The sequence below is a fragment of the Homo sapiens genome, chromosome 15 (genome assembly GCF_000001405.40).
Source record: "Homo sapiens chromosome 15, GRCh38.p14 Primary Assembly".
NCBI classification, from domain to species: Eukaryota; Metazoa; Chordata; class Mammalia; order Primates; family Hominidae; genus Homo; species Homo sapiens.
In genome coordinates this window covers 69,380,178-69,396,557 of record NC_000015.10, presented here as the reverse complement: position 1 = coordinate 69,396,557, position 16,380 = coordinate 69,380,178, and the positions used below count along the sequence as shown (strand labels likewise).

The 16,380-nt window shown below is 52.9% G+C and overlaps 1 protein-coding gene across 21 annotated transcripts in view, besides 2 other annotated features; it reads right to left on the bottom strand.

The window, feature by feature from the left end:
• PAQR5 (progestin and adipoQ receptor family member 5) overlaps nt 1–16,380 on the bottom strand; it is a 108,869-nt gene that overhangs the window by 11,223 nt on the left and 81,266 nt on the right. For 16 of the 21 annotated variants that reach the window (XM_047432749.1, XM_047432747.1, XM_047432748.1 and 13 more), the window contains 2 exons: nt 11,676–11,881; nt 6,778–6,904 (listed from right to left, as the gene is read on the bottom strand). The exons of 3 other annotated variants lie outside the window; for them this stretch is intronic. In XM_047432749.1, the coding sequence (XP_047288705.1) occupies nt 6,778–6,904; nt 11,676–11,881 (333 nt within the window). Of the gene's footprint in view, nt 1–1,497; nt 4,335–6,777; nt 6,905–11,675; nt 11,882–16,380 lie in introns of those variants that run through there. 2 more of the 21 variants (XM_047432752.1, XM_024449967.2) reach the window with 2 other exon arrangements.
• Nucleotides 7,539–8,183: an enhancer, noted in NCBI's record as "H3K4me1 hESC enhancer chr15:69680714-69681358 (GRCh37/hg19 assembly coordinates)". NCBI's record gives its function as "activates a minimal SCP1, AML or CMV promoter by ChIP-STARR-seq in naive H9 embryonic stem cells {active_cell/tissue: H9 hESC(naive)}" and the evidence as "EXISTENCE:reporter gene assay evidence [ECO:0000049][PMID:30033119]".
• Nucleotides 14,888–15,069: a silencer, noted in NCBI's record as "fragment chr15:69673828-69674009 (GRCh37/hg19 assembly coordinates)". NCBI's record gives its function as "represses an EF-1alpha promoter that drives an FKBP-Casp9 reporter gene in an ReSE screen in HepG2 liver carcinoma cells {active_cell/tissue: HepG2}" and the evidence as "EXISTENCE:reporter gene assay evidence [ECO:0000049][PMID:32094911]".

Sequence of the window (16,380 nt, the reverse complement as noted above, 5' to 3'; positions counted from 1 at the left end):
TGAGGTGTACTGTGGAGGGCTGTGTCCTCCCTTGGGGCCCACAGGGCTGCAGGGTAAGGAACCCAGCACAGTGGATGCACAGCCACACGCTGAGGCTCTTGGGATGGCTGTTCTGATGCAGTCTGTAAAGGCAATGCATGCATCTGGGCCCTTTCAGCCTTTGCTGACAGTTCTGCCCCCTATCACACTGGAGGGATGGGGTCTGTGTCCTGCTGTGGCTCCTATCTCTGCTCCCAAGAACCTCGGTCCCAGTCCACAAGCCTGTTCCTTCTCCTTCAAATGCCATCTGCTGTTTCCTCTGAGCCCAGACCGATTTCACCTGGCCAGGCTGTTCATATCTCGTATGAGCCAGTAAAGCCACCTGACCATAAACCCAGCTGCTGCCTGTATCTCTCAGCATGGAGTATGCAGGGACTTCCACATTGGGCAGTTAGGGAACCCTCCTCAGGCAGGTGCCAGATCTGGTCAGGCCTGGATCCTGGGGACCCAGCACAGAAGCAGGTCTGAGGATGCGGACATTCTCCAGGCTATTGTGCTCCACTCAGTCCTCAGGGCAACCGAGCACAAATGGCCCACCCGGAGATTCCTGTTTCAGGAGAAAGGGACACCACTGTGTGCCCGGAGAAGCCCCACAGCCTCCCAAGACAAACCCCAACTTCACTCCAGCCCACTTTCGTGTTTCTTCTTTCCTGACCCTGCCTGTAAGTCATACATGGTACATGGCATGTACCAGGTGAGAAGCTCAAGGAGAAGGAACTAGGATGCATCATCCCCCCCGAAAAAGAACCAAACTCCCGGAGAGGTGAGGCAGCGCAGCACTGTGATTTTATGTGGAGAGCTTGATTGGGACACACTGGGTTCAAATCCTGACCCTGCCCTTCACAACCACGTGACCTCGGCAGGTCACTAACCTTTGTGTACCTCCTGATCCTCATGTGTAACACAGGGACAATGACTGTGCCTTGTCACAGCCTCGTTGTATGGATTTGATGAAACGATGCTCCCGAGGTGTTTAGAACTGTGCATGGCACAGTCGCACAGACTAAACAGCAGCTTTTAAAAACACATGCATCGTGGAGCTCCATTCTCTCCCCATCCCCACCTTGTATCTATGTTGGTCCAGATAATAGGAACAGGAGGGAACAAATAGGTTCTGGGTGATTTGCCTGAAGTCAGATGAGCCAATAAGAAGCAGAGCTAGGATTTAAACCCTGGGCTTTCTGGCCCCCAAGTGTCACCCCCTCTGTCTCAGGCAGTAGGCTGCGCAGACTCAGACCCCGCCCGGCCTTCACCCTTCCCTGCCCGCTCTGCCCCTGGAGCAGAGGGCACACACTCCTGCTATCCCGAGAGCCAGGTATCTGCCTCACCGGCCTTCTTAGTCCTCCGGCAGACCCTGCCCTGCCGCGGCAGGCCGCCCCCTCCTGCCCTGTGCCCTGCCACCGCCTGCCGTCTCCAGGTTGAGAGGCTCGCTCTTAAAGGGCCCCTGTGGCCACTTACACGCGAAGAAATCTGGCTGTGGCTGGCGAAGGCCATCCCCCAAAGCATGGATTTTCTGTGACTTGAGACAACATTTCGCTCGGCCTGATAAAGTGTTTCCCCAGGGGCAAACGGACCAGCCTCTCCAGCTGCAAAGCCGGGTCTAGAGGGAAAAGAGAAGGAGAAAAAGCAGAAGAGAAGAGAGACAGCAACAGAGAGAAAAAGGCAGAAGGGCCAGTAGCTCGGGAGAGGGGCCGTCCGCTACCAAGTTGCAGTTCCGCATTAGGCCACGCGATGTCGCCACAGCCAGAGCAGAACCACAGCCGCAGCATCCTCAGAGGCGCCCCACGTGCGGCCCCACAGCCCAGCCTGCTCGGGCTTAGGGCAGTCCCGCACCAGAGGGCTAAGGGGCTGCTATAGAGGAAGTGAGGTCTCTGCTCAGAACGAGGTTGGCAGGACACACTGGGTTACGGGAGAAGCCTTCGTTAAGAAAGGGTCGATTCAACACAATCTGACAAAAAAGCTGGAAGGATTGGCAACTGGAATTCCGGAACTAGGGCTTGAAACTAGCGGGCCTTTGGAAAAATCATTCTATTGCAGAGGCGCACGCACGAGTGCACGTGTGTGTGTACATGGGGGCGGTAGTTATGGTTGTTTTATTGTGTAGGAGTTGTCTTATTTTGGAGAACTGCAGGGATGTAGACATTTCCCCATGCCCCTAACTGGCTATAGCAGCACTTTATCCTCTGGCCAAGCCTCTGTCTGAGAACCATGTCTGCTGAGCCTTCTACCTCCAGCGCTGACCTCAAACCCCTTCCAGGTCAGCTCCACCCCTCTGAACTGCCTCAGCAACTGCCTCTAAGCTGTCCTTAGAGCAGAGCTCATGGGTGAAAATTAATCTCTCGCCCTCACTGCTCTGACCAGGAGGTTTTTCACTCAGCAGCTCTTTGAAAAAAAAAAAACAAAAAACAAAAAAAAAACAATCAATGGTTGGATGCACTGGAAGGAGATGGACAGTGATTTGTCCATACAGTACTTGCTGTGTAACTGACATTCCTGAAGGGAGTGGCAGCCGTTTCCTGTGCAGGCATGAGCAGGCCAGGGCCTCGGCCACCCCCACCTTGCTCCAAGAACCACGAAGAGGGCACGCATTCTCTCATTTCCCCTCTCAAATGCTACAGAATGAGAAGGCAGTTTTCTGGAACATTTTCATTTGAACCAAAGTCCATGACAATAAGAACCAAAAACCACTCAGGGGACGACAAAGCTCTCTATGTTGAGATTGGCCTTAATGGTCTGCCTTGTAATGGAACGAATGCCATTTCAACCCTGATTTTCGGGCAAGCATCAGATAACTGTCAAGCAAATACTGAGGTTCCTGGTCTCCCCCAGGAGGTCTTCCCCTCCCTGGAGGGGAAGGTGGTTCTCTCCCGCTCCTGCCCAACTGCAGCCGGATGGAGCAGGAGGGAGAGGCAGGGGTGGAGCCTGGGGGAGGAAGACAGCTGGGAAAGGAAGCTTGGAGAAGACACTAAGGCATCGACATTGCACGATGCCCAAACCAGAGAGGACCCAGAGGGTATTGTCTCAGATGCCCTCATTGAAGACGTAGACCCTGAGGCCCAGAGTGGACAGTGACTGCCCTGAGGCCATACAGCAAGTCTGGGGGAGCAGGGTTGAAATTCAGGCCTCCAGATACCCACACCCTCCTCTCTACCCACTTCTTCTGAAATTACTCAGGGCCAGCATCACTTCTGCACACGAGTCAGCTTTCTCACTCTCCAGACACCAAAGGCAGAGACAGGGAATGAAGAGAGGGGAGGACAGGCCTTGTAAGAGCAGCAAAACCATGGGTCAGGGAACGTGGAGCGAGGACGAGGTACAAAGGGCACTGGAAGGGCCACATGCCCACTCTACCTTTGGGTGCAAGAGTGTGGCATGTGCCCCCTTCCTCCTTTTTGATTCCAACATAGCCCCTCACCTCCCTCTCCCCTCAGCTCCCACTTCAGTTGCTGCTAATATGCCTGGAAACCCCTCAGGGCATGGAAGCTGAGTGCGTAGGATTTTTTTTTTTCCCTAAGAGATTCTCATCCTTCATGAGCAAAGGGCCAGTCCTCATAGGACCCACAGGCCCCCAGCCCACCATCCAAGCCCCTCTGTAGCTGCTCTCCTCCATCTACTCTTGCAGACTCTGGCAGCTCTAACACACCTTGCTGCTTCCCCACCCTGGCCCACCCTCTCTGTAGTCCTCATCCTTGTCCTGGCTGGTTGCTATGTCCTCCTCTTCAGCTAAAGTGTTCTACCTCCTTCAATATCCAGTCCTAAAGCCACTTCTCAGAACCCTGTGTATACCGGCAGGTGTCATTCTGCCTTATCATTATTTGTTTACATTACACTCCCTCCTGCTACACTCTAACGGAAATCATGGCCTCATGGACCTCTGGGGGCATCTGCAGTCTGTCTCTCCTATGGCACTGGGTGCTCTCTGAAGGCAAGGGCATCCTTCTGGCACCCTCAGCTCCTAACGTGGTACCTGGAGTATGGCAGGCATTTAAGGAATGTTAGATGGGTGGGCGGGTGTGTAGATGGGTGGATAGATGGAATAGGCACAGATGTACTCCATAAATAAATAACCCATTTCATTGGCAAAGGGAGAAGCCCCCAAACTCAGGCACCCAGGAGATGTCTGGCAAAGCTGCCCTGACAGATAAGTTCCTCCAAAGACACCAGGCATGCCACATCCAAAAGACCCCATCCGTTATATCTGAACCATCAGGGAAGACTCCTGGCTAGAAGAAAGTAATCTAGGCTGGGCAGGGTGGCTCACACCTGTAATACCAGCACTTTGGGAGGCTGAGGAGAGTGGATCATCTGAGGTCAGGAGCTCGAGACCAGCCTGGCCAACATGGCGAAACCTTGTCTCTACTTAAAACAAAAAAAAATAAAATAAAACCAGCAAGTGTTCTAAGAATTTGAATTATGAGCTCATGGGGAAGCCATCTTGGATCATTCACTCTGGAGACAATTTCTTTTTTTTCTTGGCTCCACTGCCCGGGCTGGAGTACAGTGGCATGCTCTCAGCTCACTGCAACCTCTGCCTCCTGGGTTCAAGCGATTCTCCTGCCTCAGCCTCTTGAGTAGCTGGGATTACAGGTACCTGCCACCACACCCAGCTAACTTTCGTATTTTTAGTGGAGACAGGTTTTCACCACATTGGCCAGGCTGGTCTTGAACTCCTGACCTCAGGTGATCCACCCACCTGGCGCTCCCAAAATGCTGGGATTACAGGTGTGAGCCACTGCACCCAGCCTCACTCTGGAGACTTTCTTCCACACTCACGAAGCCTTCTCTTCCTCCTCTGCCCCCTCAACCTGTGGTACTCTCCCTGTCTAATCCTAAATTTCAAACGCCAGAGCCACACAGCCCTAGGAGAGCGAACCAGATGGGGCAGTGACTGGTCCAAGGACCAGGTCCAAGAGTGTCCAGGTTCCTGGACCATGGCCAGTCCACAAGCCCATGCACCCAGGTCTCCGGGGCTTGCTTCATCTCTGCTGGACTTGTTTCCGCAGGGTTATTACTGTTCTATATCTGTTATACCTCCCTTCATCCACGGCAGGGACTCCTAGAAACAGACTTTCACTCCCATGGAAGGCAGCTCCACACTTCCAACCCACCTTAGCGCAGGTGAATGGAAGGCGAATTGGAACAAGTATTCCCAATGCTGTTTCAGAATCTATCCTTCCATTTAAAAATAAAAAACAGAAACAAAAAAACTGGTTTGTCCTGTTTGTGAAACTTGCCTGCTCTCCCTTGTGAAACTTGCTGGCCCCACACATCCCAAGTGTCACCCAAAGGAATTTGGAGACAAAATCATTCTGGAGAAGTTACCAGATGGGGCATATCTCACCTGCCTGTTTTTTCCTGGGGAGAGGGGGGCAAGTGGAGGCAGGGAGACTCCACTGGCTCGCTGGAGTTGCCATTGCGGGAGGACAGAGAACTCAGATGTACCTGCCAGCTTACCTTTCCTGACCAGCACGAAAGGCCCCCAGCCCAAAAGTACCAGCCTTGGCCCTATTCAGCCAGGGCTGTCACCCCAACACAACCATTTGGGAGATTTCCTGAGTATTTTAGGGAAAAGGAACTTTCAGGCAGTTCACTTCTACAAAGAGCTGAATAAATTGGTGTAGTTATCCCCATAACAACATTCTCTGCACTCACACCCCCATGAGTTTTCTTGAAAGAAAAAAAAAAAAAACAGTGGGAATTAGAGCGCGTAAGCTGGGCCTGACTCACTGATGAGGGATGCATAGGGCATTTGAATAACACCATCATCCATCACATATGCCCAGAGGCAGACACACCCAGTCACCATTAGTGACCACACATTTATGGGACATCTCCTCTGTGCCAGGCTTGTGCTAAGTGTCCTGGGTACATTACCTGTAATCCTTCCATTTGTCTTAGGGGTATTTGTAATGGCCTCATTTTATAGATGAGCAAACTGAAGTTCAGGGTGGATAAGCCACTTGTCCAGCAAATGGAACCAGCTGCATAATTTGTAAAGCCTTGTACCGAATCAAAGAGCAGGGACCTCCCTGTTCAAAAATTATTACAAATTATTAAGAATGCAGCAGACGAGCCCAGGAAGGCGAGGCTACAGTGAGCTGAGATCGCACCACTGCATTCCAGCCTGGGCCACAGAGAGAGACCCTGTCTCAAAAAAATAAATAAATAAATAAATAAATAAATAAATAAATAAATAAAAAACAGGTCAGGCACCATGGCTCACGCCTGTAATCCCAATACTTTGGAGGGCCAAGGTGGGTGGATTACCTGCAGTCAGGAGTTCCAGACCAGCCTGACCAACATGGTGAAACCCTGTCTCTACTAAAAATACAAAAATTAGCTGGGCGTGATGGCGGGTGCCTGTAATCCCAGCTACATGGGACGCTGAGGCAGGAGAATCGCTTGAACTCAGGAGGCGGAGGTTGCAGTGAGCCAAGATTGTGCCATCACACTTCAGCCTGGGTGACAGAGTGAGACTTTGTCTCAAAACAAAAACAAAAACAAAAAAAGGCAGCAGAGTATTAAACCAAGTATGAGACTCTCTGAGCATGGAGGCCTGGAGCTTGCGTGCCCAGGAAGCTGGTTTTGCCAGCATAGGAAGTCCACCTGGAACGGAGTCCTAGGTTCCCAAGCACCTTTTCCATTGAGCCCACCTCTTCCCCGGCTCCCTCAAAGAGTGCAGGGAGCTGCATGCAAGACCCTCCCTCCCCTCCCATCTGAGGTCAGAGCGACCAGTACCTGGAGTAGCAGGAGAGGCCTGTGCTGAGGATGGTGTTCAGTACAGCCAGGGCCACGTAGTAGTCATGGAAAGTGGTGCACATGAGCGCATCCGGGAACGTGTATGCAGAGTAGGCAATGGCTGAGCCTGGGGAAGAAAAGCCAGCCTTGGGAGAGGAGCCAGGCCTTGGCACCACATGGGCCCCTTGCAAAGACTGTCCCCAGCATCTGGCTTGGCCCTTATCATTCCCACAGTCCTGGCTCTGCGCCCTCGCTGGTGCCATTCCCCCTTCTAGGATGTCCTGCTTTCTCTTCTCTGCCCACCCAAATCCCATCCTGAGAATTTACTGTGAGCCCAGCTTTGCTCCAAGGGCTTTACATGTATGACCTCACATAATACTTCAACCATCCTCCTTCATAACTCTGCACTTATCCTCATTGTACAGATAGGAAGCAGAGGGATAGAGAGGTTTAATCACTCGCCCAGGGTCCTGCAGCTAGAGAGTTAACAAAGATGGGTTTCAAACCCAGACAGGTTAGTGACAGTCCCTGCTTTAGCCACATGCTGTGGTCCATGACGACAGACCCAGCGAGCTGAGCTCTACTCAGAGTGTGCACATCTCACCTGCCCAGGGACATGGGTGCTCCTGGTAGAAAGATCAGTGCTGGAGGGAGGGCCCTTGCTGAGACGAGGATGTCATAGCAGCAGCTGGGAGACAGACCAGCTGAGAGGTTGGGTGTTGCGTTGTGTTTTAGGTTTTGAAGTTTGTGAAAGAAGGGTTGCTTAAGGACCTTCTAGCGACCTTTTTGCTGAAGCATTTATTTGGAAGAGCAGGGGAGATCACTGTCCTTTTCAAAGGGGCCAGGTGTGCTTCAGCTGGGGAGATGGGCCTGGACCTGCACCCTCACCTCCTGAGGTCTCCCCTAAGGGAGGCAGCCCAAGGCCTGATGGCCATGCCTAGGTCACCTGTCATTCCAAAGACATCAGGAATTGTGGAGTCCTAGCTCAGGGCTGAACAAGGCTTTGGGCCATACAGGTTGATCTGTCTTTTATCCCAGTGACAGGTGGATCTAGCAAAGCTGGCCACACAGGCAAAGAGGGTGAACACCAAAGCCTCCTGGTCCCATACTCCCAGCTGCAGCAGGCAGCCCGCGAGATTTCAGTGGGAAGCTGCCTCCAGAGGGACAGGCAAGCCCTTTGTCTGGCCCCATACTGGGAGGGGGTTCCCTGCTGGACTGGGATGCATTCGCTCAGCAGATGCCAACTGGGGCAAACTGTGGGCCATGCAAGAGCCAGGGAGCTTCTGACCCTGCCCAGAACCGCAGCCAGAAGCAAAAGACCAGAGCCTGAGTCAGGTTCCAGTGTGGGGCAGGCTTTCGGGATGGGTGGAGCACAAGGCACAGGAGCTGATCTTGGAACAAAGCCTGGTAGGTCATCCCGGATTCTGACAAGAGCCTGAGGGCAGGGAGGCTTTCAGCTTTGGATGCAGGCTAAGGAAAGGAAACTTCCTCTTTCAGGCACTAAGGGAGCCACTGAAGGATTCTGATGACCAAAACCTAGTGAAAGCACACAGGATGGCCTGAGGGAGGAACCCCTGGAAGCCTGGGAGGTGGCAGGAGGGCGCTACACTGGTGGGATTGAGGGCTTTGACAGGGAGGGAGGAGGGAGGCAGGGGCAGAGGGTGGAGCCGGGAGTCCCAGATGGAATCAATGGCTCTCTCAGTGGACTAGATGTTCCTTCCGTGTTTCCTGAACACTTCCCCACATCAAGCACTGGGCTATGGGCTAGAAAAACAGATTGGAAGCATCTTCTGTGCTCCGGAGTTGTTCTCAGCAATGGAGGTGTGCCAGCATGGCTGGCAGGCTGGGGATCAGAAGAATCATGGTGGGGGTATATCCAGGTCTGGGGGTTGGAGGAAGGGCACAGGGCAGGGGCCCCTGAGGCTCCCGTGGTGCAGCCTGCAGGGAAGGGAAGAGGGAGTTCTGGGGAATGGCCTATGGGAGGATACAGAGAAGGGAGACCATGGCAACAAGAGGAACTCTTACACAGACAGACAGTGAGGCCCGTGATGGAGGAAGGCAGGGGACAGGTTGGTGGTGGACCACATGGGCTTCAGTCCTCACTCTGGCTCTGCCATGCACAGCTGTGTGACCTGTCACTTACCTCCACAGTGCCTCACTGTCCTCACCTACGCATGGATATGACACTAGGACCTACCTCAGGGACTGCTGCCACGGTTAACAAGATCATCGTGGTAATGGCTGCCCTCAGATGCCGACTAAGGCCAGGCTCTGAGCCTCATTTAAAACACATTTAATCATCAGAACATACCCACAAAGAAGATATTACATCCATTTTGTGGATGAAAGAATTGAGGCTTGGCAGGGTTATGAAACTTGCACAGGAACCTCTAACAGTTAGGGGTGGTGGAATCAGGTGCCAGCACCTGGACCATTAAACATGGTGTGGTGTGGCCCCTCAGGGGTGTGTGTCAGGGGCCTGGACCAGGGCTTGCCATGCAGCGATTACTCCAGAAATGCCCACACTTATCAAAACAAGTCCGGGGCGGGCAACCGAGGGCCAAGGAAGTCGCCCCGCTAAGCAGTCTGGACTGCTTCTGGCTGATGAGGGCCCTGACAGTGGGAGGGTGATGTGGTAGAAGGTGTTGTGGAAGCCTCCAGGGGCTGGGTGAGGTGGAGAAGGCTGTGATAACTGTGCAAGTGAGAGGCCGGGGCCTGAGTCAAGACAAAGGGGCAGTGCCGCTTACAGCAGGTAGGAGAGAAGTCACCTGGCCTTAATAACCAATTGGCCAGAGGGTGGGCGTGGGTGGGGAGTGAGAGGAAGGGGACCCCGAGGATTAGTCAGGCTTCTGACTCAGGAGAAGGAGTAGGGGCGCGACCATCAGTCAGGTTGGACATACAGAGGGCTAGCAGGTGTAGGGGCAGGGGCGGGAGCAGGTACAGTTCTGGTCTCATGGCTCTGAGGTGGCGTGGACCTCAGGTAAGAGGTTTACATTGGAGACAGGGTTTCTCCGGAGGTGGAAGAGATGCAGTAGGCATGGAGGAGATCTCTGGGGAGCCGGATCGTGTGAGAGGAGAGGTCAAAGGACCACTTCTGAGCCTCCCCACCCATGTGTGCCAGAAAGCAGAGGAGGGGAGCCAGCCCAGGGGAGGGGGGACATGGAGGGTAAGAGGGGATCCGGAGGGTGGGAGGGAATCCGGGAGGGAGGGAGGGATGTGACAGGGACCAGAGAAAGAGAGGGGCATTGAGGAGGCCTGAAGGACCCCTGCATCAATCTTGGCAGTCAGGAGGCCGGGACCCTGGACAGGGGCACGCACATTCCCCACTCTCTTCTGCAAACCCATCAAAGCCTGAGGGTAAGCCTGGCTCACACGGAAAGGGGCACGGTCTAGTGAATGCTGGGGACTGGGCAGCAGAGCACTAAGGAGTGGGCAGTGAAGTGGGAAAGTGTGTGTGTATGTGTGTGAGAGTGTGTGAGTGAGCGTGTGTGTGGTGTGTGTGTATGTATGTGGTGTGTGTGATGTGTGTGTGTGGTGTGTGTGTGTGATGTATGTGAGAGTGTGAGTGTGTGAATGTGTGTGTAGTGTCTGAGAGTATGTGTGCGTATATGAGCATGTGAGTGTGTATGTGGTGTGAGTGTGTATGTGAGTGTATTGTGTGTATATGTCAGCATGTGTGGTGCGTATGTGGATGTGAGTGTGTGTGGAGGGTCTGAGAGTATGTGTATGTGCATGTGAGTGTATTGTGTGTATGTGATGTGTGTTTATGTGAGTGTAGTGTGTGTCAGTATGGGTGGTGTGTGTGTGTAGTGTTTGAGAGTGTGCATGTGAGTGTATTGTGTGTATGTGGTGTGAGTGTGTGTATGTGAGTGTATTGTGTGTGTGTCAATGTGTGAGTACATGTGGCATGTGGTGTGTGTGTGTGCATGTAAGTGTATTGTGTATATGTGGTGAGTGTGTGTATGTGCATGTGTGAGTGCATTGTATGTGTGTGTGTCAGTGTGTGTCAGTGCATGAGTGTGTGTTTGTGTGAGTGTGAACGTGTGTATATGAAGAAAGAGGATGGAGGTAGGCTCCTCATGGACAACCTCTTGGGCAAGGAAGACAATAATTGGTTTTCTCACCTAGAATGGGACCTGGAGGAAGAATCTAGAACTCATATCCTTAGGGATAGATGCATGCCCACAAGGGGAGGAGAGAAGAGGCCAGAGGAGGGAGCATCATAGTCAAAGAAAAAGACAAGGAAGAGGGGGCGGTCAGCACCGAATTTCACCAGCTTAGGTTGCTGATCTATTCCCGCACACTCTGAGCATCTCTCTGATTGTGCTAAGCCTCTGGATATACGAGGCTCATGACCTCACCCTCCTCTTCTTGCCTGGCATGACAGAGACCAGCACTGATGTACTGGAGTCAGTTCATTCTGGCCTGTGAGAGAGCTGAGTGCTGAACACAGCCATCATTAAAAATTAAATCACAGAAACTTGCAATTAAATAAATCATATTAACAAAAGTACTGAGTACTCAATGACTACATCTACTGTATCTGCATGGTGGAATTTCTGTAATAGTGTGCTACGCATATCTCTTCCCACCCTTGTGTTCTGTGATGTCATGTTAGTAGGTTGAAGCTGGACATGATGGGAAGATTTACACCACAGAAACTGGCAACACTGCAGATCGGGGCTGTTGTCCCCACAGAGCCAGTGGCTAAATATTTAGCAGCATGCTTATGGACAGTTTCTTATAAAACACCCATTGGGAACCTGGACAGGGGCACTGGCATAATCCCTGGATTCTTCTGCAAACTCATCAAAGCCTTCTGGTGACCCTAGCTCACAGGAGAAGGGGCAAACAGCCCGGTTGCAGGGGAAGGAAAGCAAGAACAAGGCCTCACATACCCAGGCTGAAGAGGTTGACGGCACCATAGTCCAGGAAGTAGCAAATGTGCCGGGCATTCTTGGACATAGAGCTGAAGGTGTGCGCACAGCTGGACACAAGTGGGTACACGCAGCTGGTGCACATGTACACAAGCATGGGCCAGGAGTAGCTGTCATTCTTGATGTCTGTCATATACAGTGCAGTCACAAACCTCCATGCAAAGAACCTGGAACACAGAGGGCTCACTCACCCTCCACCATGAACACAGAGGGCCCGCTCACCCTCCACCATGAACACAGAGGACCCGCTCACCTTCCACCATGAACACGGAGGGCCCGCTCACCCTCCATGATGAACACGGAGGGCCCACTCACCCTCCACCATGAACACGGAGGGCCCACTCACCCTCCACCATGAACACGGAGGGCCCACTCACCCTCCACCATGAACACGGAGGGCCCGCTCACCCTCCACCATGAACACGGAGGGCCCGCTCACCCTCCACCATGAACACGGAGGACCCGCTCACCCTCCACCATGAACACGGAGGGCCCACTCACCCTCCGCGATGAACACGGAGGGCCCACTCACCCACGGAGGGCCCACTCACCCTCCACCACGAACACAGAGGCCCACTCACCCTCCACCACGAACACAGAGGCCCACACACCCTCCACCATGAACACGGAGGGCCCCCGCTCACCCTCCACCGTGAAAACAGAGGCCCCGCTCACCCTCCACCATGAGCACAGAGGCCCACTCACCCTCCACCATGAGCACAGAGGCCCACTCACCCTCCACCATGAGCACAGAGGCCCCGTTTACCCTCCACCATGAGCACAGAGGCCCACTCACCCTCCACCATGAGCACAGAGGCCCACTCACCCTCCACCATGAATACAGAGGGCCCGCTCACCCTCCACGATGAACACAGAGGGCCACTCACCCTCCACCATGAACACAAAGGCCCACTCACCCTCCACCATGAACACAAAGGCCCACTCACCCTCCACCATGAACACAAAGGCCCACTCACCCTCCACCATGAACACAAAGGCCCACTCACCCTCCACCATGAACACAAAGGCCCACTCACCCTCCACCATGAACACAAAGGCCCACTCACCCTCCACCATGAGCACAGAGGCCCACTCACCCTCCACCATGAGCACAGAGGCCCACTCACCCTCCACCATGAGCACAGAGGCCCACTCACCCTCCACCATGAATACAGAGGGCCCGCTCACCCTCCACGATGAACACAGAGGGCCACTCACCCTCCACCATGAACACAAAGGCCCACTCACCCTCCACCATGAGCACAGAGGCCCACTAACCCTCCACCATGAATACAGAGGGCCCGCTCACCCTCCACGATGAACACAGAGGGCCAGTCACCCTCCACCATGAACACAAAGGCCCACTCACCCTCCACCATGAGCACAGAGGGCCCGCTCACCCTCCACCATGAGCACGGAGGGCCCACTCACCCTCCACGATGAACACAGAGGGCCAGTCACCCTCCACCATGTACACAAAGGCCCACTCACCCTCCACCATGAGCACGGAGGGCCCGCTCACCCTCCACCATGAGCACGGAGGGCCCGCTCACCCTCCACCATGAGCACGCAGGGCCGCTCACCCTCCATGATGAACATGGAGGACCTGCTCACCCTCCATGATGGAAGCCCCTCTTAGATCCTCGCCTATCTACTGTCTCCATTCCCCCGCGGTGACTAATTCCTTCGTGTTCTCACTTTGGGGAAATACCATGTGCTAGGAAGGTGGGGGGTCCTTTTTTAATTGGGAGGCAGTACGTTGGGAATGGGCAGGTGAAGTAAGAAGAGAGGCTTTATGTATATCTAGTCCAATCCCCTAGTGATTCTCCAGCCTCAGCTTGCATGCTTCCAGGGATGGGGGGCTCATTACCTCCCAAAGCAGCTCCAAGGGCTGGAAAGTTCTCCTTCATTGGCTCAAATCTGTCCTCCTGGAATCTATCTCCATTTGATTGGCCTTAGTTCCCTCCACCAGGATCATAGAAAACAAGCTTAACATATGCATATATATATATATATATATATATATATATATATATATATATGGTCATATATATATATATATATATGGTCACATATATATACACATATATATACACACATATATATATACACATATACATACATATATACATACATACATATATATATATATATATATATATATATATATATATATATATATATGCTTTTTTTTTTTTTTGAGACAGAGTCTTGCTCTGTCACCAGGCTGGAGTGCAGTGGCACGATCTCGGCTCTCTGCAACCTCTGCCTCCTGGGTTCAAGTGATTCTCCTGTCTCAGCCTCCCAAGTAGCTGGGACTACAGGCACCCTCCACCACGCCTGGCTAACTTTTGTATTTTTAGTAGAGACAGCGTTTCACCATGTTGGCCAGGATGGTCTCGATCTCCTGACCTTGTGGTCTGCCTGCCTCAGCCTCCCAGAGTACTGGGATTATAGGCATAAGCCACTGCGCCCGGCCGCCTGTCAAATATTTCAAGGCAGTCTTTCTAACCCCCTCCCACCTCCTTGAACTTCACATTAAATACTCCCGGTTCCTTCAGCCATTCCTCGCAGGATCTAAATGTGGCGTTACCACCATCCCCGTGGTTTGTCCTTCCTCCATGTAGTTTGTCTATGTCCCTCTTGTAGGAAGGCTCCTCAAATAGAAGCAATGCCCCAGGTGGAGCCTTGCAAGCCGAGGCCAAGAGAACTATTTTCTCCCTCCTCCTCCACACTGTTCCTCCACTAAGAGTACAATCACTTTTCGGAATAGCTAGTCCCACAGCTGACTCTTAGCAGAGCCTAGATCTCTATGCAGAGACACTTCAAAATTCTTCACCAGGTCTGCCTGGCCTACAATCCACGCATGAGGTCCCGCCTGCAGAGCACCTCGCTTCCACAAATCACTCCTAGAGAGCTGGCTCCCTTTCTCACTAACTCCTCCAAGGGAGGAGACTCTACAAAGCTTTTCATATGCAGGAGCTGAAGGAACATTGCTAAATCCTTCCAGCTACACTTGTGGACTTTTTAATTTTGTCCCAGCGGGAAGTAAAGCTTAAGCTATTTGCTGTTTCTCAAAATGTATCCTTCAGTTATTTCAATTTTTCAGTGGTCCCATTTCCTTAGGGCATCTTGATCCAGACCTCCCCAAGTCCTTCCTGCTACTCTCTGTTGCTCAGTCAGGATCATCTCTGAGAGCCTGGCACCGTGTAGAAGTGCATAGGCAGTGCTGGAGGTGATGGGGGTGCGGCTCACCCAGCTTGGCTCAGCTGTAACATAGCAAAAAATCACCCTACAGGGATCCATGCATGGAGTGCAAGACCCACAAGCAGGGATGGACAGGCTGGTACCCTTTTAGCAGCTCAAATCTCAAAACAGCCTAAATCAACCATGATTCATCCAGAAAATGGAACACCAAGCAGATGTTCCAAAGTCCAGGAGACATGCAGATTGCAGATGCTGACAGAGTGAGATCTCCAAGGGAGGGAAGTAAGAGGAAGGCAGCAGGGAAAGAGGCAGATGCTGTGGATGCTCACAGCACAGATGCTCCTGGGTCCCCCAGAAAAGCTCCAGGAGGACGCATAGGAAGCAGGTCCCCCTGGCCACTCCAGGGAGGAGAACTGGGGCCAGTGGCAGAGCCTGACTCTATTCCCTTCTGAAGGGTTATAATTTGTAAGCATGTATACTTTTAAAAATGACAAATGGCCCCTGGAGCAGGGCTGTGCTGCCACCCCTGCCCAGTCCGCAGGCCCAGGGCTGCCACACTCCTTTACAGATCACCCTAGTCCACACCAGACTGAGCTCTCTCCCCTCTCCACTGAGCTGGCTGCTGGAACCAAACAGCCTGCCCCTGCATTTTGGCCCCGGGTCTGTCATCTGACTTCTACTCAGGCTGGCTGCCCCTGTGCGGGGAGCCTGGGCCCATCTCCACTCATGGCACACTCCTCATCTCTTCTCAACATGACTGGAGGGAGTCCAGTGACCAGCCTGTGCCACGGCGCCCCTGCATGACGTAAGGACGCCACCCCGTCTCTCGGCTGTGTCTACATCGACCAGTGGTGGTCTGAGTGGGACAGTGGCTTGAATGGCCTCTGAGTTCTTCCAGCTCAGATCCACTGTGATTTGGTGCTTTGACCCTGTCTCCATCCTCCATTCCTTAAGCAAAGGTGTGCAGTGTGTGACATTGGCCTTCATCCCCCACCTTTCTCAGCAAGGCCCCTCTTCGCTTCCCTGGCCACTTCCATTTCTGCATACAGGCTTCCCAGAGCTTTGCTCTTAGCTGGCTCCATCTACAGGCTGCCTGACCAAGTGCCTCCCAGTTGTCGTGGTTCCCAGAATGATTACGGAACACCCACAACTCTGTGGCAGATGCCTCTACCAATGTTTTCTCCCCAAACCCTCACAGCAACCCTTGGGGAGGTGCGGACCATCACTCCTGCTTTGCAGGTAGGAAAATGAGAGGCTCAGAGAGGTTGACTTGCTCAAACTAGTGACATTTTAACCAGGGCTCCTGGAAGACCTGGAAAGTCTCCAAGACCGGAGATGAAGGTAAATGCTATCATATCAGGCACCGGAGCAGGGAGCAGGAAGGACTGAGGCACTTTTGGGATTTCCCCTCAAATCTTACCCCAGTCCATGCCTTAAAGGTCATCCCAGTGGCACACCC